The sequence below is a fragment of the Homo sapiens genome, chromosome 19 (assembly GCF_000001405.40).
Source record: "Homo sapiens chromosome 19, GRCh38.p14 Primary Assembly".
Classification (NCBI taxonomy): domain Eukaryota; kingdom Metazoa; phylum Chordata; class Mammalia; order Primates; family Hominidae; genus Homo; species Homo sapiens.
In genome coordinates, this window is record NC_000019.10 from 47,821,820 (window position 1) to 47,848,985 (window position 27,166).

Genomic DNA, 27,166 nt, shown 5'->3' on the forward strand with positions numbered 1-27,166 from the left:
CTGGTGCCCAGTCGAGTCCCCCACCTTGGCCGGGATTACCCTCCGAGTTCCAGGCCATGACAAATGACATCACTCCCGGCCCAGGCTTAAAATCTCCCCATGTGAGGGGATGTGTTTCCTTCAGCCTCTGCTGTCTGGCCGCTCTGTCTAGGTCCTGGGCCACGGGAGAGCCCCGTCCCTCCTTTCTGAAGGTGAGCGTCTGCAGGAGAGGCGGAGGGGACCGAGGAGGGGAGAAAAAAGAGAGGGGAGAAGTTGGGTTTATCTTATTCGTGGCTGTGTTTGCCGTGCTCTGCAGGTGATGTTTGCTGAATAGTCACACACAAAACAGAGGTGCCGTCCTGGCATTTGTGGAAACGGGGCTAGGCTGTGATTGCAGCAGGAGGGAGTAAGGTTAGACAGCAGGGACTGGCTGATGGCACTCGGGGCATTGGGAGGATTCAGGGTGGCTTGTGGGCAAGGGGGTCCCCTCAAGCCCTGACGGCATCCGGGGTTGGGGGCTTCTCACCGTGGTTCTAAGGCAACTCCTCAGCATACCGCTCTGTTGGATGTTCTTTAAAACTCTTAGCACTGCCTGAAATTTTCATTTGCGCGATGATCCACAAATGGCCTGTCTCCCTCCCTTGTTGAGCACTGATTTTTCCCCAGTGCCCAGCGTGTGGTTGGGATTTGCCTAAATATGTGTTGCATAGATGGATGGATGAATGACAGACAAGGGACGGAACAGACATATACGCAGAGAGCCCAGGTCTGTGGCTGCAACAGGAAGAACTCCGGGTGGACTTGGGCCTGCCCGAGAGAGCCAGGAATGTGATGACTGGGGATCACTGTGCTGGTGAATTGATCACTTAGGGCCTCAATGCACCCAGAGGCTCTGGCTTTCAGCCCAGGCTCTACTTCGGGACTGGGGAATCCTCACGCCCCCGCCCTCTTAGCTTCCAGCACAGTCACTCTCTCTGATCTTCTTTCTGCAAAGTTTTTTTTTGTTTGTTTTTGAGATGGAGTCTTGCTCTGTTGCCCAAGCTGGAGTGCAGTGCCACGATCTCCACTCACTGCAACCTCTACCTCCTAGGTCCAAGGAGTCCATCCACCTCAGCCTCTTGAGTAGCTGGAATTACAGGCGCGTGCCCCCATGCCCAGCTATTTTTTGTATTTTTAGTAGAGATGGGGGGTCTCTCCATGTTGTCCAGGCTGGTCTCGAACTCCTGACCTCAAGTGATCAGCCCGCCTGAGCCTCCCAAAGTGCTGGGATTATGGGTATGAGCCTCTGCGCCCAGCCGGTCTCCTGCAAAACTCTTGATTGACACCTTGTTTCCCGTCTGCCCCTGTCAGGAGGGCTGAGGCCTTGTCTGTCTTGCTCTCGGCTGTATTCCCAGTGCTTGGGTCAGTCCTAGACACACAGTGAGTGCTCAGTGAATATGCAGGGAATGAATGAATGAATGAAGGGCAGAAGGGTAGAAGCAGGTAGACAGACTGCCACAGAGAGGAGGTGTGATGCGGTTTTCCCAAAAGGAACGAGCGAGGGCTGTGATTGCCACAGAGTGAGGTCCGACTTCAGGGCTGCCCACTGTGTGTGAATTTCTGGATGCTTCAGGGATCACATTGTTGATCACGGAGTTGATTTGCTCAGGCTCTAACTGTGCCGTGGATCCCAGCTTCCCCCAGGTCTCATGGCCGGCAGTGGGTGCATCCACCCAGCTCCTTGTCCCCGCTGGACAGAGGAGCCAACAGAGGCTGCAGAGAGAGGCTGGAGTGGCTGACAAGGGAGGGCCCTGAATGTGGCTGAGCTGGGAGGGTCTTGCCAAGGGCTGGCATGAAGCCACATGAGTCTGGTTTTTTTTTTTTTTTTTTGAGACGGAGTCTCACTCTGTGGCCCAGGCTGGAGTGCAGTGGCATGACCTCAGCTCAGTGCAACCTCCACCTCCCAGGTTCAAGCGATTCTCCTGCCTCAGCCTCTCAAGTATCTGGGATTACAGGCGTGCACCACCATGCCTGGCTTATTTTTGTATTTTTAGTAGAGATGGGGTTTCACCTTGTTAGCCAGGCTGGTCTCAAACTCCTGACCTCAGGTGATCCACCTGCCTCGGCCTCCCAAAGTGCTGGGATTACAGGCGTGAGCCACCACACCCGGCCGAGTCTGCGTTTAAATCTTGTTCTTTTCTCACTGTGTGGCCTTGGACCCCTCATGTGGGCTCTCTGGGCCTTGGTTGCCTCCTCTGCAAAGTGGGGACAATGATAAGCTGTCACCATGATCCAGCCAGATGAGCCATATTGCAGGCCTGGCCTGCAGTGGGAGCAGGGCAGGAGACCAGCCTCATTCTGTTTCTAGGGTCCCTAGGTAGACTTGGGGGTGAAGAGCGGGGCTCGGGGGCCAAAGAGATTTAAATTTTACCCCTGGTTCTTCCACTCATCACCTGTGTGACCTCGGGAATTGACGAAACCTCTTTCAGCCTCAGTTTCCTCCTCTGAGAAAGGGACCTCTGAGCTCCGTGGGGCTGTGGGGAGCATCCTAAGAGGCCATATCGCCGGGTGATCAGGAGGGCACCGGCTCCGGGGCAGGTGCTGGCCCAGCTCTGGCTCTGCCGCTGACGTGCGAGACAGAACTGGAGACTACACTTCTCTCAGCCTCAGTTTCCTTCTCTGTAAAGTGGGGATGATACCAGAAGCCGCCTGGGAGGAAGTTTCCATGGAGTTACTGTTGCCTGAGATCTTGTTCCCAAGGTCCATGGTGCATGCAGTGTGTGAGAAGCTGGGGCCCCCTGGAGGTCCTTAAGGTCATCAGCCACCTGAACTGTGGGCACCTCCCTCCCTCCCAGGCTCAGTCTCCCCCGCTGTAGAATGGAGTTATCTGCATGTCTGCCCCACCAGGTGGCTGTGAGCATTCAGACCTCACCTGTGGGAACAACTGCTCAGCTGGGAACCTGGGACCCAGTGAGTGCCGAACCCCACAGCTCTGAGAATCAGCCTGGGGCCTCCCAGGTTGATCCCCAGGGCAGAGACACTGATATTCTTTGTTCCACCCCTTGAAATCATAAAACATCAGTGTCTGGAAATTGTTGTCATTGTGAGATCTTGTATATAAAGCCTGGGCCAAGTGTCTGCCGAGTGATGAATTCCTGGACATTCTTTTTTTTTTTTCCTCCCCAGGAGACAGGTCCTCTTTCGATTGATTGATTTTTTTTTTTTTTTTTTGGGATGGAGTCGTGCTCTGTCGCCCAGGTTGGAATGCAGTGGTGCAATCTCAGCTCACTGCAGCCTCCGCCTCCCGAGTTCAAGAGATTTTTGTACCTCAGCCTCCCCAGAAGCTGGGACAACACCATGCCCGGCTAATTTTTGTATTTTTAGTAGACGGGGTTTCACCACGTTGGCCAGGCTGGCCTTGAACTCCTGACCTCAAGTGATCCGCCTGCTTCAGCCTCCCAAAGTGCTGAGCCACTGGCCTGGCCTGTTTTGTTTTGTTTTGAGAGAGGATCTTGCTCTGTTGCCCAGGCTGGAGTGCAGTGGCTGGATCATAGCTCACTGCAGCCTCCAACTCCTGGGCTCAAGCGATCTTCCCACCTCAGCCTCCCAGAGTGCTGGGATTACAGGTACGTGCCACCACGCCCAGCCCTCACTGGAGGCCCTTCTGTCATCAGCTGCCTCAGGTTGCTGCCAAACCCAGGGAAAGATTTCAGTGGATGTTCAATATTATTATTGTTATTATTCTCTGCTGACATCTTGTCTAGGCAGCACTTTATCATTATTATCAGCTGTTTGATCTGGGGCCCACACTTTCCTCCTGCTGAGCCTCCTCTCCCCTATCCGTTAAAAGGGATGATCCTGGCCAGGCACTGTGGCCCACGCCTGTGATTCCAGCACTTAGGGAGGCCGAGGTGGGCGGATCACCTGAGGTCAGAAGTTTGAGACCAGCCTGGCCAACATGGAGAAACCCAATCTCTACTAAAAATACAAAAAAAAAATTAGCCAGGCATGATGGCACATGCCTGTTGTCCCAGGTTGGGAGGCTGAGGCAGAAGAATCGCTTGAATCCGGGAGGTGGAGGTTGCAGTGAGCCAAGATTGCGCCACTGCACTCCAGCATGGGTGACAGAGACTCCGTCTCAAAATAACAACAACAACAAAAACAAAAACCCAGAAAGTGGTGATCGTAAATGTGAGCTTTCTTGGCTTTCCTGGAAGGTTAACTGCTTAGCCAGGCAATCTGACTCAGATTTGACGGCGAAGACAATGAAAGTGTGTGCTTTTGTTCCAGGCCCTGCAAATGGTCCCCAGTGGGGCAGGTTCACCAGTTTCCTTGTCTCCACTCTCTGGAGGTTCATATTTAACATTATTGGTTTTTGGAGAAGTGGGAGAGGACAGAGGGAACCCAGGTTAGGGGGCTGGGGGAATAGGACCTTCAGGAATTACTCTAGCCTTGAAATCCTGGATTCTCCACTGCCAGCCTGTGTGTGATCCCGGGTAAGTCACACTTTCGAGCCTGAAGATGTTCTCTAAACTGTAAGCATCAGGCAAAAGCAGTGTCTCATGCCTGTAATCTCAGCAATTTGGGAGGCTGAGGCAGGAGGATCTGCTCAGGCCAGGAGTTCAAGACCAGCCTGGGCAACATGGCAAGACACCTCTCTCTACACAAAAATTTAAAAAATTAGCTAGGCGTTGTGGCACACCTGTAGTCCCAGCTACTTGGGAGGCTGAGGTGGGAGGATGGCTTGAGCTCAGGAGGTCGAGGCTGCAGTGAGCTATGATTGTGCCACTGCACTCCAGCCTGGGTGACAGAGTGACATGCTGTCCCTAAGACCAAAACCAAAACCAAAATGTAAGCATCATAGTAATACAGTCTCTACCTCCCAAGGTTGTGCTGGGGATTTAATGACTACCTGTATAGAGAAGGCTTGTGTATTAGTTAACTATTGCTGGGTAACACTTATCCTAAAATTGAGCAGCTTCAAACAATAAACATTTCTGATCTCTTATAGTTTCCAAGGGACAGGAATCCAAGAGTGGCTTAACTGGATTATTCCGGCTCAGGGTGTTCCATGTGGTTGTGGTCAGATGTCGGCCAGGACTGAAGTCACTTAATGGCTTGGCTGAGGCTGGGGAACTAACCTCCATGGTAGCTTACTCTCATAGCTGTTGGCAGGAGGCCTCATTTCTTTGCCACATAGACCTCTCCGTGGGATGGCTTGAGCATCCTCACAACATGGCGGCTGGCTTTCCTTAGAGCTAGCCTTGGAAGCCACGCTCTGTCATTTCTGCAATATCCTGTTGGTTACACACGTCAGCCAGCTTGTTAGTAGGGACTACACAGGGCATGAATATCAGGGGGTAAGGATTATTGGGAGTTACCTTGGAGGCAGTTTGATTTTGGGGATTTAATGTAGCTGCTTTTGATTTTATTGTCAGCACTGAGCCTTCTCGTGACATTCCTACCAGGTTTTACTTGTTCTTTCTGCTTTTCTCCATGATCAATCTGCTATGGTCACACAGGGTGCCTTGTTTCTTCTCCAACAAGACCAAGTTGGAGACCCTGTCTTGCTCAGGGTGACGGTGTGAGATTCCAGCCTCCAAGCCTTTGCACCTGCTGTTTTTTTAATTTTTTTTTTTTGCCTGGAAATCTCTATTCCAGATCCACACAAATTCCTAGATGCCTCACCCACCCCAAATGCCTTCACTCTCATAACAACCTGTTTTATTTTCCTGGGAGTTCTTGAAACTTTCTGAAGGCTTTTTTTTTTTTTTTTTTTTTGACAGAGTCTTGCTCTGTTGCCCAGGCTGGAGTGCAGTAGTGCCATCTCAGCTCACTGCAACCTCCGCCTCCCGGGTTCAAGCGATTCTCAAGTAGTTGGGATTACAGGCACCCATCATCATGTCTGGCTAATTTTTGTATTTTAGTAGAGATGGGGTTTCACCATGTTGGCCAGGCTGATCTCAAACTCCTGACCTCAAGTGATCCTCATAACTCAGCCTCCCAAAGTGTTGGGATTACAGGCAAGAGCCCCTGCTCCTGGCCATGGCATCTTTATTAAAAAAAAAAAAAAAAAAAAAAAAAAAAAAAAAAAGGCAGGGCGTGGTGGCTCACGCCTGTAATCCCAGCACTTTGGGAGGCCGAGGCGGGTGGATCACATGAGGTCAGGAGTTCGAGACCAGCCTGGCCAACATGGTGAAACCCCATCTCTACTAAAAATACAAAAATTAGCCAGGTATGGTGGCAGGCCCCTGTAGTCTCAGCTACTTGGGAGGCTGAGGCAGGAGAATCACTTGACCCTGGGAGGCAGAGGCTGCAGTGAGCCGAGATCAAGCCATTGCACTCCAGCCTGGGGGACAAGAGTGAGACTTCATCTCAAAAAAAAAAAATTTTTTTTTCCTTGTTTGTTATTGGTTTCTCTAGGAACGGAACCAAGAAGTTCAATTCTATGAGAACAGAGAAGCTGCGGTCTTATTTCTTCCTATATTCCTAGTTCCTAGAGCAGGGAAGGCATTCAAAAAATATTTACTGAATGAACAGTAGAATCTCAACTTAAAATAAACAGAATCTGTCCCCCTCCTCATGTGAGGGATGAGAAGGAAAGGACAGTGAGAGGAACGGAAGAGTGGGAGCTCACAATAAACACCATCCATTTTTAATTCTTTTTCTTATGTTTCAAATATTTATTGGGGGTGCTGGGGACATGGCAGGAACCGAGATATTACCAGTCCCTGAACTCAGGTAACTGATAGAATTTGAGGGAGAGAGATAGATAAACAAACATATAAATATGTCGTTTAATACAAGCTGTGTCTTGAAGAAAAGGAGGTAGGGAGCGTGTGTGTGTGTGTGTAAAATCCAGTTTAGGGGCGTAGGTTGCTTTCTCTGGGGAAAGTAGCTGAGCTGAGACGTGGAGGAGAAGGGGTTAGCTGGTGAGAGGGGCTTTGGGGTGGGGGAGAGGCGTTCCTAGCCCAGGAAACGGCTTATGCAAATAGCTGTGGAGGGTGAGAGGTTTTCTGAGTCCATCCTAATGAGGGCAATGAGGAACCCTCAGAGGGTTTTCATGTTCTGTTTGCTTTTTTGAAGATTTTATTGTTGTTTTTGCTTTTGACAAGAACACACACACACACACACACACACACACACACACACACACACACACACAATTAAAAAGTAATCCAAACTATAGAGACAAGATATGGCTTTAGCATTCCTTCCCAGAGGCAGTCACTGGTGCCAGTAGCTTGCTTCCTTCCTGGGAATTTTCTACGCATATACAAGTGTATATTCTACACATGAGTAAAATCAATGCCTCATTTTGTTTATTAATTCATAATTATAATACTTATTATTTTTGAGATGGAGTCTCACTCTGCCTCCCAGGCTGGAGTGCACTGGCATAATCTCGGCTCACTGCAACCTCCACCTCCCAGGTTCCAGAGGGTCTCCTGCCTCCGCTTCCCAAGTAGCTGGGATTACAGGCATGCACCACCATGCCTGGCTAATTTTTGTATTTTTATTTTATTGTATTTTTATTTTTAAATTTACTTTATTATTATGACTCTTTTTTTGAGATGGAGTTTCGCTCTTGTTGCCCAGGCTGGAGTGCAATGGCGTGATCTCGGCTCACTGCAACCTCTGCCTCCCGGGTTCAAGTGATTCTCCTGCCTCAGCCTCTGGAGTAGCTGGGATTACAGGCGCCCACCACCACGCCTGCCTAATTTTGTATTTTTAGTAGAGACAGGGTTTTGCCATGTTGGCCAGGCTGGTCTTGAACTCTTGACCTCAGGTGATCCATCTGCCTCGGCCTCCCAAAGTGCTGGCATTACAGGCGTGAGCAACTGCACCTGGCCTATTTATTGTTATTATTGAGACAAGGTCTTCCTCTATTGCCTAGGCTGGTGTGCGGTGGCATGCTCATAGCTCACTGCAGTCTCCAAATCCTGGGCTCCAGTGATCCTCCTGCCTCAGCCTCCTGAGTAGCTGAGACTACAGGTGCGGACCACCATGCCTGACCAATTTTTGTATTTTTTTTTTTGTGGAGACAGCGTTTTGCCATGTTACCCAGGCTGGTCTCGAACTCCTGGGCTCAAGCAATCTGCCCACCTTGACCTCCCAAAGTGCTGAGATTATAGGTGTGAGACACAGCACCTGGCCATCTGCATTGTTTTAAAAATCACAAATGGTTGCGAGGTATACATACTGCCCAGCACCATACTTGTTTCCTTTGAATATATAAATATTATAATTTTATAATATTTATAATATATAATAACACAAATAATAATAAATATATATGGTTTGGTCATATACAATATATAAAATAACATTCACAAACACTTATTGTCAAAGTGCAATTAAATGGGAAAAAAAGAAAAACATTTGGCCAGGTGTGGTGGCTCATGTCTGTAGTCCTAGCACTTTGGGAGGCTGAGGTGGGAAGATCACTTGAGCCCAGGAGTTGGAGGCTGCAGTGAGCTATGGCAACGCCGCTGCACTCCGGCCTGGATGACAGAGGGAGACCTTGTCTCTTAAAAAACCCCAAAAAACAAATCTGATTCTCTGACGCATATATAATAAGCACAGGTCAAAGATTTATTTAAGTCATGAATGAAGGAACCAGCTGTTTCAAAGGAGAATTTGGGCCGGGTGCAGTGGCTCACGCCTGTAATCCCAGCACTTTGGGAGGCTGAGGTGGGTGGATCACGAGGTCAAGAGATTGAGACCATCCTGGCCAACATGGTGAAACCCCGACTCTACTAAAAATACAAAAATTAGCTGGGCGTGGTGGCGGGTGCCTGAGGTCAGGAGTTCGAGACCAGCTTGGCTAACAATGGTGAAACCTTGTCTTTACTAAGAATACAAAAAATTAGCTGGGTGTGGTGGCTCATGCCTGTAATCCCAGCTACTTGGGAAGCTGAGGCAGGAGAATAACTTGAACCCAGGAGGTGGAGTTTGCAGCAAGCCGAGATTGTGCCACTGCACTCCAGCCTGGGCGACAGAACAAGACTCCATTAAAAAAAAAAAAAAGGAGAATTTGATGAACAGAAGTTGATAGGTTTAGTCAGGAAAGACGGGCTGGAGAAAATTTGCCAGGTTAGATACAAAACTGGTTAAAGACCTACAGGACAATACAACTGTAACCTTTGAGGTTACCTTTTCTACCAGAGAGAAATCATTTGCAACCAAACTTCCTGGGGTTACCATTTACCTTGTCGAAGTCTAGACTCTAATCAATAATGAATAACAGACCGGGTGTAGTGGCTGACGCCTGTAATCCCAGCACTTTGGGAAGCCGAGGCAGGCGGATCACGAGGTCAGGAGTTCGAGACCAGCCTGGCCAACATGGTGAAACCCCGTCTCTACTAAAAATACAAAAATTAGCCGGGCATGGTGGCGCATGCCTGTAATCCCAGCTCCTCAGGAGGCTGAGGCAGGAGAATCGCTTGAACCCAGGAGGCAGAAGTTGCAGTGAGCCGAGATCGCGCCACTGCACTTTAGCCTGGGCGACAGAGCAAGACTCTGTCTCAAAAAAAAAAAAAAAAAAAAAGAATAGTAAATCAAATACAGGTACAGTCCCTTAGAATAGGGTCCCCAACCCCCGGTTTGTAGTCTGTTAGGCATGGGGTTGCACAGCTGGTGAGCAAGCATTACTGCCTGAGCCCCGCCTCCTGTCAGATCAGCGGTGGCTCTAGACTCTCACAGGAACGTGAACCCTATTGTGAACTGCACGTGCGAGAGATCTAGGTTGTACACTCCTTATGAAAATCTAAGGCACTGCCCACTCCCATCCATGGAAAAATTATCTTCTACGAAACCAGTTTTTGGTGCCAAAAAGGTTGAGGACTGCTGCCTTGGAATATGAAGCAAACTTTGGGTGGGTCTGTTAGACAAGACTCCCAGATGACTTGGAAATGGCATGCTGTCAGCTTTTTTTGTCTTATTGCCGAGCCTAGAACTTTTTTTAATTTTTATTTTTTTTGAGATGAAGTCTTGCTCTTGTCTCCCAGGCTGGAGTGCAGTGGCACGATCTGGGCTCACTGCAACCTCTGCCTCCCGGGCTCAAGCGATTCTCCTGCCTCAGCCTCCAGAGTAGCTGGGATTACAGGCGCCTGCCACCACGCCCGGATAATTTTTGTATTTTAGTTGAGACGTTTCACCATGTTGGCCAGGCTGGTCTCGAACTCCCGACCTCAGGTGATCCGCCTGCTTTGGCCTCCCAAAGTGCTGGGATTGCAGATGTGAGCCACCACACCTGGCCCCTAGAACAATTTTTTAAAACTATATAATGGAGATCTTTTAAAATCAGTTCAGAGAGCAGCCTTATGTTTTTTTTTTTTTTTTTTGAGACGGAGTCTCGCTCTGTCGCCCAAGCTGGAGTGCAGTGGCTTGATCTTGGCTCATTGCAACTTCTGCCTCCCGGGTTCAAGCGATTCTCCTGCCTCAGCCTCCCGAGTAGCTGGGATTACAGGCACGCGCCACCATGCCCGGCTAATTTTTGTATTTTCTGCAGAGACGGGGTTTCACCATGTTGGCCAGGCTGGTCTCGAACTTCTGACCTCTGGTGATCTGCCTGCCTTGGCCTCCCAAAGTGCTGAAATTACAGGCATGAGCCACTGCGCCCAGGCTTACTTTAAAAAAAAAATTAATTTTTTGTAGAGACAGGAGAGTTTCGCTATGTTGCCACCTGAACATAAATGCTATTTTCTTTTTCTTTTCTTTTCTTTTTTTTGAGACGGAGTCCGTAGCCCAGGCTGGGGTGTGGTGGCACCATTTTGGCTCACTACAGCCTCCGCCTCCCAGGTTCAAGCGATTCTCCTGCCTCAGCCTCCCAAGTAGCTGGGACTACAGGCGTGCACCCCTGTGCCCAGCTAATTTTTGTATTTTTAGTAGAGACGGGGTTTCACCATGTTGACCAGGCTAATCTCAAACTCCTGACCTCAAGTGATCTGCCTGCCTTGGTCTCCCAAAGTGCTGGGATTACAGGTGTGAGCCACTGCGCCTGGCCCATAAATGCGATTTTCATTCCCATTTTCCAACAAGGCGACTGAGGTATACATTGAAGGTGAATTACTAGGACAAAAGAAAGATGGCATTTTACTTCAATAACAGTTTGTTACAACCTGTACTGCTACCTATCTGCCATGGGAGTGTGCCTTTCCCCACACTGACACCAGTGCTGGAAGTTATCAACCTCCTTCATCTTTGCCAACCTGATAGGTCAAAAGTGATCATGGAAGATCCACACTCGCTTTTTTTTTTTTTTTTTTTTTGAGATAGGGGTCTATTTCTTTTTCTTTTTTCAGAGATGGGGGGTCTCACTATTTCTTTTTCTTTTTTTCAGAGATGGGGGTCTCACTATGTTGCCTAGGCTGGTTTTGAACTTCTGGGCTCAAGTGATTCTCCTGCCTTGACCTCCCAAAGTGCTGGGATTACAGGTGTGAGCCGCCTTGCTTAGCCCTTACTGTCGTTTTTTTGTTTGTTTTTGTTTTTGTTTTTTTGTTTTGTTTTGTTTTGTTTTTGAGACAGAGTCTCGCTCTGTCGCCCAGGCTGGAGTGCGGTGGTGCGATCTTGGCTCACTGCAACCTCTGCCTCCCGGGTTCCAGTGATTCTCCTGCCTCAGCCTCCCAAGTAGCTGGGATTACAGGCACCCGCCACCACACCTGGCTAATTTTTGTATTTTTAATAGAGATGGGGTTTCACCATGTTGGCCAGGCTGGTCTTGAACTTCTGACCTTAGGTGATCCATCCATCTCAGCCTCCCAAAGTGCTGGGATTACAGGCGTGAGCCACCTTGCCTGGCCCTTACTGTTGGTTTAATGCCACTCTCCCTTAGGGTGACCAACCAATCCAGTTTGCCTGGGACCATTCTGGCTCTAGCACTGAAAGTCCTGTGTTCCAAGAAACACCCACCTCTCCTCCAACCTGGGCAAAGAGGGACGGTTGGTCAACCTGCAGTCCTGGGTTATAAGTGAGGCTGAGCGTGTTTGCCCATGGTCAAGAAAGAAGGGATCTTGGATGAGGGTGTGTAACAGGATCAGATTTGTTTTGTTTTTTTCTTAGAGTCTTGCTGTGTCACCCAGGCTGGAGTGCAATGGCCTGAACACAGCTCACTGCAGCCCCAAACTCCTGGGCTCAAGTGATCCTCCCACCTCAGCCTCCTGGGTAGCTGGGATTACAGGCATGCATCACCACACCCAGTTAACTTTTTAAAGAACACTTTTTTTTTTTTTTTAAGAGACAGGGTCTTGCTATGTTGCTCAGGCTGGTCTCAAACTCCTGGGCTCAAGTGATCCTCCCGCCTTGGCCTCCCAAAGTGCTGGGATGACAGATGTGAGCCATTGTGCCTAGCCAGGACGAGATTTTTAGAGGGTAGAGTAGGAATAAGAGCTTGCACTTATGAGGCACATGATGGCTTCAGCTGTCTGCTTTGCAGAGTCTCAAGAAAGCTCTGAGAACCTTAAGCAGAGGCCATTTTACATGTGAGGACACAGAGGTACAGAGAGGTGAGATAAATGGCCAAGGTCACATACCTAAGAGGAGAAGGAGGCAGGATTTGAATCGCAGCCTGCACGTCACCCCATGGTGAGTAACTGGTAAGTGAGTGAGCATCCCTCCTCTTCTCTTGCAGGCCCCCTGACTTGGGCCTCAGTGTCCCCGAAGATCATGATGGCGTATATGAACCCGGGGCCCCACTATTCTGTCAACGCCTTGGCCCTAAGTGGCCCCAGTGTGGATCTGATGCACCAGGCTGTGCCCTACCCAAGTGAGTACAGTCGTTTCTCTTGGCACCCCAGGCTGGCCTCATCTCTTGGAGGACCTCTGGGGTCCCTTTGCCCCCAGGAAGAAGGCAATCACAGGGGCGACTTCAGGGCCATACACCAGCCCTCTGGGTTCATCTGAAATGTATGTCACTTAGAAAAACATTAGCAGTCCTAGAAATTCAGGACAGAGGTTCCTTTTGGGGTGAGGAAGAGGGGATGTAATCTGGAAGGGGAATCAAGAGGAATTTTCATCTGTTACCAAAACTTTATTATTTATTTATTTTTCAGAGACAAGGTCTCACACTCTGTCACCCAGGCTGGAGTGCAGTGGTGGTGGTCACGGCTCACTGCAGCCTCGAACTCCTGGGCTCAAGCAATCCTCCCACCTCAGCCTCCTGAGTAGCTGGGACTGCAGGTGTGAGCCATTGTGCCTAGGCCCGGGGGGCACTTTTTTTTTTTAATTTTATTTTTGAGACAGGGTCTCACTCTGTTGCCCACTCTGAAGTGCAATGGTGCAATCACAGCTCACTACAGCCTCGAACTCCTGGGCTCAAGCGATCCTTTTGCCTTGGCCTCCCAAATAGCTAGGATTACAGGTGCACGCCACCATGCCTGGCTAACTTTTTTAAGTTTTTGTAGATTTTGCAGGATCTGGATTATACAAAACATAGAAAAAATTATTATTATTTTTTTTTTTGTAGAGATTGGGTCTCCCTATGTTGCCCAGGCTGGTCTCAAACTCTTGGGTCCAAATAATCCGCCTGACTCAGCCTCCCAAAGTGCTGGGATTACAGGCATGAGCCACTGCACCTGGCCTGCAAAGCCTTATTTCTTTTTCTTTTTTTTTCTTTCGAGACACAGTTTAGACGGAGTTTCGCTCCTGCCCAGGCTGGAGTGCAATGGCGCGATCTTGGCTCTTTGCAACTTTTGCCTCCCAGGTTCAAGTGATTCTCCTGCCTCAGCCTCCCAAGTAGCTGGGATTACAGGCGCACACCACCATGCCCGGCCAATTTTTGTAAAGCCTTATTTTTAAGAGAAGTGAGTACTCAGTTATTTGTAGCATTATTCTTTAGCTCTTGTTTTTTTTTTTTTTTTTTTCAAGACCGAGCCTTGTTCTGTTACCAGGCTGGAGTGCAGTGGCATAATCTTGGCTCACTGCAACCTCTGCCTTCTGGGTTCAAGCGATTCTCCTCCCTCAGCCTCCCGAGTAGCTGGGACTACAGGCATGCACCACCACACCTGGCTAATTTTTTGTATTTTTAGTAGAGACAGGGGTTCCCCATGTTGGCCAGGATAGTCTCAATTTCTTGACCTTGTGATCTGCCTGCCTCAGCCTCCCAAAGTGCTGGGATTATAGGCGTGAGCCACCGCACCCAGCCCAGACTTGCTACTTTTATAGGCTAGAAACGGTTGAATGTCAGCAATGTCATGCTTCAACTGATTATGTCTTAGTGCATAAGAAAGTTTAGAAGAGGGAAAAACGACTCGCACACCTCCTTGTTGAGCTAAAGCCTTGGGGTCAGGCATGAGCCACAGAGTGCCAGGCACACAGTGAGGTGTAGAAGGGCAGGGAATGTGTATTCCATCCTTAGTTTAGGCAGATGGCAACCAGGATGGAATTCTTGGCATCCCACCCAGCCTCAGGGCCTCACACCAGCCCATGTGGATGACCTGAGGGTCCTGTTTCCCATCCCACCCCAGGCGCCCCCAGGAAGCAGCGGCGGGAGCGCACCACCTTCACCCGGAGCCAACTGGAGGAGCTGGAGGCACTGTTTGCCAAGACCCAGTACCCAGACGTCTATGCCCGTGAGGAGGTGGCTCTGAAGATCAATCTGCCTGAGTCCAGGGTTCAGGTGGGGTGGTGGGTCCCTGGACCCCTCCCGACACTTCCTGTGATCTCAGGAGGCCTGCCCGGAACAAAGAGTGATGGGAGGAGGGAGAGATCACAGAGTGACAGCCAAAGTTATAAAGGGGACAATAATCCCTCTCCCCACCATCCCACTGACCGCCTCATGGCTCTCATTGCCCCTCGCTCCTCTCCAGCTGCGCTGGCCCTGACCTGCCTGCCAAGCACCCTCCTGCCTTGGGCCTTTGCACTCAGTTTCCTCTATCTGGAATGCTTATTTCCAGATAACCACACAGCAGGCCCCATCGCCTTGTTCGAGTCTTTGCTTATCCATCAGTGAGACCCACACTGAACACAGCATTTAAAATTGCATATGATTTACATATGGTATCTCAGAGTCTGTTTATTTAGACTCTGTCTCTCCCAACTAGAATGTCAATTCCACTGACGGACACTCAGAGTAGTAGAAAATGGTTAATACATGTTTATTAACTGACTGAATAGACGGATGGATGGATGGGTGGGTGGATGCATAGATGAATGTATGTATGTGTGACTGTAGGTGTGCGTGTGCATGTATGACTGGAAGCATGGATGAGTGTATGTATGTGTATATATGAGTGTCTGTGTGTATGATGGGATGGATACATGTATATATGTGTGTTTGCATGAACGCACATAGGTATGATTAGATAGATGATGAATGTATGCATGCATGATATATGTATACGTGGTGTATGTGCACATGTATGTATACATGCTTGCATGATTGGATGGATGGGTATATTTATTTATTTGAAATGGAGTCTCGCTCTGTCGCCCAGGCTGGAGTGCAGTGGCATGATCTTGGCTCACTGCAACCTCCGCCTCCTGGGTTCAAGTGATTCTCCTGCCTCAGCCTCCTGTGTAGCTGGGATTACAGGCGTGTGCCACCACACCGGGCTAATTTTTGTATTTTTAGTAGAGATGGGGTTTCACCATGTTGGCCAGGCTGGTCTCAAACTCCTGACCTCAGGCAATCCTACTGCCTCGGCCTTCCAGAGCGCTGGGATTACAGGCGTGAGCCACCGCGCCCGGCCGGATGGGTGTATTTATGTATATATGAGTGTATGCATGTATATATGATTGGACTGATAAATAAAATGTGTGTGTTAGTATGATTGTATATAGGTATGACTGGATGGATTAATGTATATGTATGCATGATGTATGTGTGTATGATGTATGGGTGTATAATTGTATATTTGTATGTTTGTATAATCAGATGGATGGATGAACATGCATATGATGTATGTATGATTAGATAGATCCATTAATGCATGTATGATGTATGTGTGTATGACCTATGTTTATATAATTATATGTATAAGATGGATGAATCTATGTATGATGTATGTGTGTACAATTGTATGTATCATCAGATGGATAAGTCTATGTATGATGTATGTATGATCAGATGGACTGGTGAATGTGTGTATGACATATATATGTGTGAGGTATGTATATATGATCAGATGGATGTCTACATAATGTATGTGTGTATGGTGTATGTATGTATAATTGTATGCGTGTATGTTTGTATGCTGTAGGTATGATGTTACATATATGTGCATACACACGTGTGTATGATTGGAAGGATAAATGAAATATGTATGTTTGTGTGATTGTATGCACATATGATTAGATAGATTAGTGTGTAGCTATGTATGCTGTATGTGTGTACAATGTATGTGCCTATAATTGTATGTTTGTATGTCTGTATGATCAGATGGATGAATATGTATATGATGTATGTATGATCAGATAGCTGGATAAATGTATGCATGATGCATGTGTGTATGGTGTATGCATGTATAATTGTATGTATGTTTGCATTAGATGGATAAATGCCTGTAGGTATCATGTATGTACGCATACATGCATGATTGGATGACTGGATGGGTTTATTTGTGTATATATGAGTGTACGCATGTATATATAATTAGATGGATAAATGAAATGTGTGTCTGCATGATTGTATGTATGGATTAATGTGTATATATGTATGATGTATGTGTGTACAATGTATGTATGTATAATTGTATGTTTGTATGATCAGATGGATGGATGAATGTGTATGATGTATATATGTATGATCAGATGGCTCCATTAATGCATGTATGATGTATGCGTGTATGATGCATGTACACTTGCATGTATGATCAGATGAGCCAGTGAATGTATGTATGATGTATATGTGTATGATGTATGTATGTATGATCAGATAGATGGGTAAACGTATGCATGATGTATGTGCGTATGGTGTATGTATGTATAATTGTATGTGTGCATGTTTGTATTAGATGGGTGGATGAATATGTGTATGATGTATGTATGATCATATAGATGGGTAAATGCAGGCATGATGTATGTGTGTATGGTGTATGTATGTATAATTGTATGTGTGCATGTTTGTATTAGATGGATGGATGAAAATGTGTATGATGTACGTATGATCATATAGATGGGTAAATGTATGCATGATATATGTGCGTATGGTGTATATATGTATAACTGTACGTGTGCATGTTTGTATTAGATGGGTGGATGAATATGTGTATGATGTATGTATGATCATATCGATGGGTAAATGCAGGCATGATGTATGTGCGTATGGTGTATGCATGTATAATTGTACGTGTGCATGTTTGCATTAGACGGATGGGATGAATGCACATGGGTATGATGTATGCATGTGTTCATGCACACATGCAGGTATGATTGGATGGATAGATGGATGGATGGGTGAATAGACGCCCCACAGCTGGATGCAAAGTAGACAGATGTGAACCCAGCACCTCTCACCAATAAGTGTCCTCATCCCCGGGCACCCTGCGGCTCTCCTGGGCCTCTTCCCCACTTACCCACCCCCATCTCCGCTCTTATCCCCCAGGTTTGGTTCAAGAACCGGAGGGCTAAATGCAGGCAGCAGCGACAGCAGCAGAAACAGCAGCAGCAGCCCCCAGGGGGCCAGGCCAAGGCCCGGCCTGCCAAGAGGAAGGCGGGCACGTCCCCAAGACCCTCCACAGATGTGTGTCCAGACCCTCTGGGCATCTCAGATTCCTACAGTCCCCCTCTGCCCGGCCCCTCAGGCTCCCCAACCACGGCAGTGGCCACTGTGTCCATCTGGAGCCCAGCCTCAGAGTCCCCTTTGCCTGAGGCGCAGCGGGCTGGGCTGGTGGCCTCAGGGCCGTCTCTGACCTCCGCCCCCTATGCCATGACCTACGCCCCGGCCTCCGCTTTCTGCTCTTCCCCCTCCGCCTATGGGTCTCCGAGCTCCTATTTCAGCGGCCTAGACCCCTACCTTTCTCCCATGGTGCCCCAGCTAGGGGGCCCGGCTCTTAGCCCCCTCTCTGGCCCCTCCGTGGGACCTTCCCTGGCCCAGTCCCCCACCTCCCTATCAGGCCAGAGCTATGGCGCCTACAGCCCCGTGGATAGCTTGGAATTCAAGGACCCCACGGGCACCTGGAAATTCACCTACAATCCCATGGACCCTCTGGACTACAAGGATCAGAGTGCCTGGAAGTTTCAGATCTTGTAGAGGACGCAGTCTCCATCTCTCTCCATCGGGCCTCGGGACCCTTTCTCTTCTGAATCTGCTTCCCTGCAGTTTAGATCCCGGGATGGCATTCCTGAGAAAGCAACCCGAACCAGCTGTCCTTCTGACAGCTCGGTGTTCAGCTTACAGAGACCACCCCTTTCCTCCACAGGGAGAGGCTCCTCCCTCTCCTGGGACAGCTCACAGGTCCTAGTGATTCTCTCAACCCTAACACCGTCTGGCACGATTGTGACCGCTGAAGTACACCACGAGCTCCAGGCTTCAGAAAGTGGTGCTGAGAACTTGCTCCAAGAAGAAGTCAAACCAAACTTGCAGTTGATTTGGGGTCATGTTTAGGTCAGAATCACCGTGCCCTTGAACAAGCAGGTAGGGGGGCTTGATAACTTAACTTTCCACGTGGACAGAATTTTTTTTTTTGTTTTGTTTTTGTTTTGCAGACACAGTCTAGCTCTGTCGCCCAGGCTGGAGTGCAGTGGCACGATCTCAGCTCACTGCAAGCTCTACCTCCCGGGTTCACGCCATTCTCCTGCCTCAGCCTCCCGAGTAGCTGGGACTACAGATGCCCACCACCAGGCCCGGCTAATTTTTTTTGTATTTTTAGTAGAGACGGGGTTTCACCGTGTTAGCCAGGATGGTCTCGATCTCCTGACCTCGTGATCCGCCCGCCTCGGCCTCCCAAAGTGCTAGGATTACAGGCGTGAGCCACCGCGCCCGGCCCTTTTTTTTTTTTTTTTTTTTAATTGAGACGGAGTCTCACTCTTTTGCTTAGGCTGGAGTGCAGTGGTGTGATCTCAGCTCACTGACTGCAACCTCCACCTCCCGGGTTGAAGCGTTGCTCCTGCCTCAATCTCCCAATTAGCTGGGATTACAGGTGTGCTCCATCATGCCCGGCTAATTTTTCTATTATTAGTAGAGACAGGGTTTTACCATGTTGGCCAGGCTGGTCTGGAACCCCTGACCTCAAGTGATCCGCCTGCCTCGGCCTCCCAAAGTGCTGGGATTACAGGCATGAGCCATTGTGCCTGGCCCTACACGTGGACACTTCTTTAGCATATGGTTAGGGACCTTTCTAGAAATTCCAAAGACAGACTTTAAGAAGCCCCGTCGGGAAACCTTAGGCCAATGATGTGGTTACATTAAAAATAAATTATCTGGGAATTTCACAGACTTCACAAATGTCAGGCTTACATGGTAGGTTTAGGGGACCGTTTGAGAGACAAAGATCTACATTCATATATGTAGCTATACATATATGTACTTTTTCTTCTTAGTTTCTTTTTAAAGACATTTTATCACTCATTCGCTCATTAGCACATTGGGAATGTGTGTATTTGGTAGGGAAATGAAAGGCACCTTGCCTGTTCCATCTCTACTCCTTTTTTCTTTTGTTTTAGGATTTTCTAAAGGTGAGACACTGGTGGAACTGGGGTAGCTGCTTGGGACGTACCACCTATAGTTGTGGCTATTTCACAGAGAAGCAGCAGCTAGACAGACTCCCATCTGTAAATAAACAAGAGATAGGAAGAGGGGGAAATAGATTTGGAGGAGGCAGCCCTACATTTCAAACATACATTCCCTTTTTTAGATTTTTTTTTTTTTTTTTTTGGTTTTCAGTTTTGATGGTGGGATTGGAAAATAGAGCTTGGCTTGAGGACATTTTCCTGGGGTGGCACCATTATTTCTTGAAATAGAATCTTACTTATGGTGACACTGGCAAGCACTTGTGAGAACCTGAAGACGGATTGAGGTCATTTGATGCTCAGAAGTTGGGTGCTGGGTCCCTGCCTTCTCAGTCCGAGTTCTCCTTTCATTTTTGGGTGGGGAGGCGGGTTCCAAGAGCCCTTCATTGGTGGAGTTCACAAGGCAAGGTGTAAAAAAAAAAGTAGGGCAGGAAGACAGTGGTGTGCTGGCAGAGGTCTAACAATGGGCTCTCCAAGGAAGAGGAAAAGGTTGGTTGTGGAGTGTTTGTCAGTTTCCGTGGTGTAAATACTCCCACCACGGCTGACTTCAAGCTAGCAACCGGAGGTCACTGAACTAAGAGTTGGGAAGAGATAGGGCACAATATATGCTTACGAGTTGGTACACACCGTCAGCAGCAGCCAGGGTCAGGAGAAAGGCGAGATGTGAAGAGAGGCCGGGAGGTATCAGATGACGTTTCCAGCACTAGACCAGAAGAGGTGCACACAGCCTAGACCCCCTGAGGGGTACACCCTGATCTCTAGAGCCCACAAAGAGGTTTTTATTCAACATAAAACGTGTTCATCTCTCATAGGCCTGAGTCATGCTGGGTTCTGGGACATTAAGCCCAGGAGTGGGCCGGGTGCGGTGGCTCACGCCTGTAATCCCAGCACTTTGGGAGGCCGAGGCGGGTGGATCACCTGAGGTCAGGAGTTCGAGACCAGCCTGGCCAACATGGTGAAACCCTGTCTCTACTAATAATACAAAAATTAGCCGGGCATGGTGGCACGCGCCTGTAATCCCAGCTACTCGGGAGGCTGAGGCAGGAGAATTGCTGGAACCCGGGAGGCGGAGGTTGAAGAGAGCAGAGATTGTGCCACTGTGCTCTAGCCTGGGTCACAAGAGCGAAACTCCGTCTCAATAATAACAACAACAAAAATAACCCAGGAGTGGCTCAAGAGTCCAGTGTGGGATGAAAATATAAACAGAGGAAGACAACATATGTCACTGGGGAGGCTGGGGGAGCTAGACAAAATTCACACGGGAGGGGCAGGGATGAGACAATATTGTGCCCTGGGTCTGTGCAAACGTTGGGACCAGAATCCACTATAAGTTTCATTCTTCGGAGACACGGAAGCTCTGCACTGGAGGCCGGGACTCAGGCGTGGAAGAGAATCTTCTCCTTATTCACCGGGGAGGCTGTGTCTTGTGCAAACAAGTCATAGAAACTTGATGGGAGTTGGGGAGGGACTGAAGGATGCATGCAAGGTTCTGGGAAGGAGTGAGAAGTAGTGAAGGCCAAGGGGCCCCCATCACAGGCCGATGGGGTAAGACTTCGAGAGAGCCTGATCCTGGGGTCTTCTGAGACTCCACCAGGAGCCGGAGAGGGCAGGGAGCCAAATCCAGCTAGGAGGTTACAGATTGCTTTTCCTGGGCTGGGCTCCTGAGTGTTGGTTCTTCCAGCTGTGCACAGGGGATTTCAAACGTTCTACGTCCTAAAGCCAGGAAGAGTGACAAGGCAGGTGGGGACAGAAGGAAGAAGCCAGGAGCCTCCCTGAGAAGGTGTCACCTTATCTGTCCTCCTCTTCCCCACACACTGGCCTCTGGGTCCCCCTTCTCTGTCCACCCACAGAGTGAAACCAATTAAAATGTTGGATCTCATTTAAAGTCTGGGTGATTCTTTAGTTTCCGTGTTTTCTCCAGGAGGGGCAGGTAGAAACAGGAACTACTCTGTTCCTTCTGTCTGTGGGGCCTGGGTCCCTCCATGTGTTTCCTGTCTCATCACCCTCCTTTCCTTGACATCTCTCTAAAGCCAATTTATGAAGGATCAGGGGCTGGGTGCAGTGGCTCACGCATGTAATCCAGTGCTCTGAGAAGCTGAGGAGGGAAGATTGATTAAGGCCAGGAGTTTGAGACCAGCCCAGGCAACATAGCGAGATCTCTGTCTCTACAAAAAATTAAAAAAATCAACCGGGTGTGGTGATGTGTGCCTGTGGTCCCAGCTACTCGGGAGGCTGAGATGAGAGGATCGGTTGAGCCCAGGAGTTTGAGGCTGCAGGGAGCTATGATTGCACCACTGCACTCCAGCCTGGGTGATGCAACAAGAGACCCTGTCTCCAAAAACAAAAAATAAAAAAAAAAAAAAAAGAAGGAGGAGGAGGAACAGGGGTCCCCAGGGCCAGCCCCAGCCCCACCCATCTGTAACCTTCCAATGCCCCTCCCGAAAAAACAGGGGGGTGACGAGAATGCTCCCTGCCTCAGTGGCAGGATGTGAAGCTTAACGCCAGCATTTAGAGCCACGCGCAGCCTCTGGCCCGCCTTCCCTCTCAGCATCCAGCCTTCTGCAGCTTCAGCTCTTCCACCCCTTTGCTTTCCATCTCTTCCCCCGGATGCTTTTCAGTTTCTCAATCTCACCCTTGCTCTGTCATCTCTTCTCCTCTCTCTCTTTCCATTCTTCCTCTTGCCTTTCAGACTCCCAGCTCCTCATTTCATTTGGATGGATTTTCACCTTTTTCTTTCTTTCCTTCCCTCTTGTCTCTTTTTCTTTGCTGCTTACTTTTTTCTGACTTTCTTTCTTTCTTTCTTTTTTTTTTTGAGACAGGGTCTCCCTCTCTCACCCAGGCTCAAGTGCAGCAGCGTGATCTTGAATCCCTCCAGCCTCTGCCTCTTGGGTTCAAGCGATCCTGTTGTATCAGCCTCCCGAGTAGCTGGGACTACAGGTGCCTGCCACTACACCTGGCTAATTTTCGTATTTTTAGTAGAGACAAGGTTTTGCCATGCAGCCCAGGCTGGTGTCAAACTCCTGGGCTCAAGCAATCCACCTGTCTCGGCCTCTCAAAGTGCTGGGATTATAGGTGTGAACCACCATGACTGGCCCACCTCTGAGTTCTTGTTTTTCCAGCTCTAGGTCATTTTTTTTTTTTTTTTTGGAGACAGTGTCTCGCTCTGTCACCTAGGCTAGAGTGCAGTGGCTCGATCTCAGCTCACTGCAACCTCTGCCTCCTGGGCTCAAGCGATTCTCCTGCCTCAGCTTCCCAAGTAGCTGAGACTTACAGGCGTCCACCACCACGCCTGGCTAATTTTTGTATTTTTTAGTAGAGACGAAGTTTCACCATGTTTGCCAGGCTGGTCTCAAACTCCTGACCTCAAGTGATCCACCCCCCTCAGCCTCTGCAAGTGCTGGGATTATAGGCCTGAGCCACCGCTCCTGGCCTCTAGGTCATCTCTCTCTGCCTGTATTCCTCTCAGTTGCTGAATCCCAGGTTAAGATTTTTGTTGGGGGATGACTGGGAGTTATATACAGGAGGGAGGGTCAGGCAGACTTGCTGTCCGAGCTTGGCTTAGCCTCTTCTGGTCGTCTGACCTCGGGTGATTCATTTCTCCCAGCCTCAATTTCCCCACCTGTAGCATGGAGCATCTAAGGAGACCCATCTCAAGAGAACAAAATGATGTTATTCTATTAATTATGGACCTGAAGCCGGGTCCAGGGTAAGAGCTCAATAAATATTTATCTATTTTGTGGTAAAATACACATACTATAAAATGTACCACTTTTCCCATTGCATGATTCTTAATTCATTTTTTCCATTTTAAGTTACTTAATTCAGTGGCATTAAGTACATTCACAGAAGAAGCCAGACACAAAGACCATATATTGTATTATCCTAATTATATGAAATATTCAGAATAGGCAAATCCAGCCAGGCACAGTGGCTCATGCCTGTAATCCCAGCATTTTGAGAGGCTGAGGTGGGTGGATCACTTGAGGCCAGGAGTTTGAGACCAGCCTGGCCAACATGGTGAAACTCCATCTCTACTAAAATACAAAAATTAGCTGGGTGTGGTGGTGTGTGGCTGTAACCCAAGGTACTCGGGAGGCCGAGGCAGGAGAATCACTTGAACCTGAGAGGTGGAGGTTGCAGTGAGCTGAGATCGCAGCACTGCACTCCAGCCTGGCAGCCTGGGCAACAGAGTGAGACTCTGGCTCAAAAAAAAAAAAAAAAAAAGAAAAGGCAAATCCGTAGAGACAGAAAACGTAGTGGCTGCCAGGGGCTGGGGTGAGGGGTGCTGTGTGGTGGAATGGGGAGTGACTGCTTAATGAATATGGGGTTTCCTTTTGGGATGACGAAAATGTTCTGGAGCAATATAGTGACCTTACAATTCTGCTCTGAAGTATATGCCGCAAAGAACGGAAAGCAGGTGTTCAGACAAAAACTTGTACGCTCAAATTTATAGCAGGATGATTCACAATGGCCAAAAGATGAAGCAATTCAAATGTCTGTCCACAGAAACAAATGAGGTCTACCCATGCAAGGGAATATTGCTCAGCCATGAAAAGGAAGAAGCACTGATAAACACAACTTGGATGACCTTGAAATCATCATGCTAAATATTTATCTTTCTTTTTTTTTTTTTTTTTGAGACAGAGTCTCACTCTGTCACCAGGCTAGAGTGCAGTGGCGCGATCTCGGCTCACTGCAACCTCCACCTCCCAGGTTCAAGCAATTCTCCTGCCTCAGCCTCCCGAGTAGCTGGGACTACAGGCATGCACCACCACGCCCAGCTAATTTTTGTGTTTTTTAGTGGAGACGGGGTTTCACCATGTTGGCCAGGATGGTCTCCATCTCTTGACCTCCTGATCCACCCGCCTCAACCTCCCAAAGTGCTGGGATTACAGGTGTGAGCCACCACGCCCGGCTGCTAAACGTTTATCTTAACCTATTATTATTATTATTTTGAGATGGAGTCTTGCTGTGCTGCCCAGGCTGGAGTGCAGTGGCGCGATCTCTGCTCACTGCAACCTCTGCCTCCCAGGTTCAAGTGATTCTCCTGTCTCAGCCTCCCGAGTAGCTGGGATTACAGACGCGTGCCACCATGCCCAGCTAATTTTTGTATTTTTAGTAGAGACGGGGTTTCACCATGTTGGCCAGGTACTTGGGTCTTTATTATTATTATTTTTACTCAACTCGTACTTATGCTATTCCTGGCAGCTTTAGTCATAATGGCCCCAAGCTGAAAACTATCCAGACGTCCATCAGCAGGTGAAGGCAGAAACAAACCCTGATGCATCCATACAAAAGGATACCCTGAGCCAGGCACGATGGCTCACACCTGTAATCCCAGTACTTTGGGAGGCCTAGGTGGGCGGATCGCTTGAGGTCAGGAGTTCGAGACCAGCCTGGCCAGCATGGAAAAACCCTGTCTCTACTAAAAACACAAAAATTAGCTGAGCGTGGTGGCACGTGCCTGTAATCCCAGCTACTTGGGAGGCTGAGGCATAAGAATCGCTTGAACCCAGGAGGCAGATATTGCAGTGAGCTGAGATTGCGCAACTACACTCCAGCCTGGGCGGCAGAGCAAGACTCTGTCTCAAAAAAAAAAAAAAAAAAGATATTCCTCACTGATGAAAAGGAATGAACTCCCAGTAGTCAATACCCCAGGAAAAGAAACTAGGGCTGGGCACAGTGATTCACACCTGAAACTCCAGCACTTTGGAAGACTGAGGTGGAAGGATTGCTTGAGCTCAGGAGTTCAAGACCAGCCTGGGCAACAGAGTGAGACCCCATGTCTTTAAAAAAAAAAAAAAAAAAAAGAAAGACAGACAATTAAATCCAGGCTGGGCACGGTGGCTCACCCCTGTAACCCCAGCACTTTGGGAGGCCGAGGTGGGAGGAGGATCGCTTTAGCCTGGGAGTTCCAGACCAGCCTGGGCAACATAGTGAGACCGTGTCTCTACTAAAAAAATTCAAAAAATTAGCTGGGTATGGTGGCACATGCCTATAGACCCAGCTACTTGGGGTGCTAAGGTGGGAGGATCGCTTGAGCCCCTGAAGTTGGGACTGGAGTGAGCTGAGATTGCACCAATGTACTCCAGCCTGGGCAACAGAGTGAGACCCTGTCTAAAAAAAAAAAAAAAAAGAAAGAAACGAAACCAGAAACAAAGAAGCAAATACTGCTGAAATAAATAAATAAAAATAAAATTTTTTAAAAAAGAAGCAAATATTGTACAATTCCATGCCTATGAGATTCTAGAAAAGATAAAACTTATACAGGGCAGAGAGCAGATAGTGCTTGCCAGGACCTAGGGAGCAGCTGGTGAGATTTACTGCAAAGGAACAAATGAGGATCTTTTGGGGGTGCTAGAAATGTGCCCTATCTTGATTATGGTGATGGTTCTGGGACTGTATATAATTCCCCAAACTTATAACACCCTAGAAAACAAATGTATTTCAATAAGAGAGTGAACAGGGAGTCAGGTAGGCTGGGTGCGGTGGCTCATGCCTGTAATCCCAGCACATTGGGAGGCCGAGGAGGGCGGATCACCTGAGGTCAGAAGTTCGAGACCAGCCTGGACAACATGGTGAAACCCCGTCTCTACTAAAAATATAAAAATTAGCTGGATGTGGTCACGGGTGTCTGTAATCCCAGCTACTTGGAGGGCAGAGGTGGGAGAATCACTTGAACCTGGGAGGCAGAGGTTGCAGTGAGCCGAGAATGTGCCACTGCACTCCAGCCTGGGCGACACTGAGACTCTTATCTCAAAAAAAAAAAAAAAAAAAAAAAAAAAAGAGAGTTGGGGAAAAAACAGAATGGATTTTATAGGACATAAATTATACCTTAGTAAATCAGAAGGAAAAGAAAATAAAATTATTGAGCAGGCAGTGGTGTAAGCCGGTTCTAACTCTTTTAATCCTCAGAATGATACTATTTTTATGATCCCTATTTCACAGATGAGGAAACTGAGGCAGAGGGCGGCTGGGTGACCTGCCCAAGGTCCCAAGCTAGGAGGGGATGGACCCAGTCTTGATATTCATCTTGTCAGGTGGCCAGCCTCCTTGCTGGTCTCTGTCCCCTCCATTTTCTGTCCTTCATTTTATTCCTGTTCTCGAATTTTTATTTATGCATTTGTAGAGATGGGGTCTTGCTATGTTGCCCAGTCTGGCTTTGAACTCCTGGGCTGTAAATGATCCTCCTGCCTCGGCCTCTCAAAGCGCTGGGATTACAGGGGCAAGCCACTGCGCCTGACCGCCACTCGTGTTCTCTTCTCTCTTGTTTTCCCCTTCCTAGGTCTCAACGGTGAGTGATTCTCTCCCCTCGTTCCCTCTCTCCGTCTCTTCCCTCACCCCCGTATGTGTCTGTCCCTCCTGGTCTCCAAACACCCTCCCTTCCCCCAGCTGTTTCCTCTGCCCCTGACCAGGACTAATTTAGCAAATGCTCCAATCCTCTTATGGCAACAGCCCAGCCTCAGCAGAATGGCAGGGGAATTAGCGAGGATTAGGTTCAGACGCATGACCCGTGGGGGAGGGGACTTTGGGGAGTTTT

General features: G+C 48.5%; 1 protein-coding gene across 1 annotated transcript, besides 1 other annotated feature; it reads left to right on the top strand.

Annotated features, from left to right (window-relative positions):
- CRX (cone-rod homeobox) lies at nucleotides 118-21,505 on the top strand. Its single transcript, NM_000554.6, has 4 exons — nucleotides 118-191; nucleotides 12,590-12,724; nucleotides 14,424-14,575; nucleotides 17,501-21,505. Exons 2-4 carry the CDS (start codon nucleotides 12,625-12,627, stop codon nucleotides 18,146-18,148), a joined length of 900 nt encoding a protein of 299 aa, NP_000545.1. The 5' UTR covers nucleotides 118-191; nucleotides 12,590-12,624; the 3' UTR covers nucleotides 18,149-21,505.
- Nucleotides 17,736-18,261: an enhancer, noted in NCBI's record as "H3K27ac-H3K4me1 hESC enhancer chr19:48342812-48343337 (GRCh37/hg19 assembly coordinates)". NCBI's record gives its function as "activates a minimal SCP1, AML or CMV promoter by ChIP-STARR-seq in primed H9 embryonic stem cells {active_cell/tissue: H9 hESC(primed)}" and the evidence as "EXISTENCE:reporter gene assay evidence [ECO:0000049][PMID:30033119]".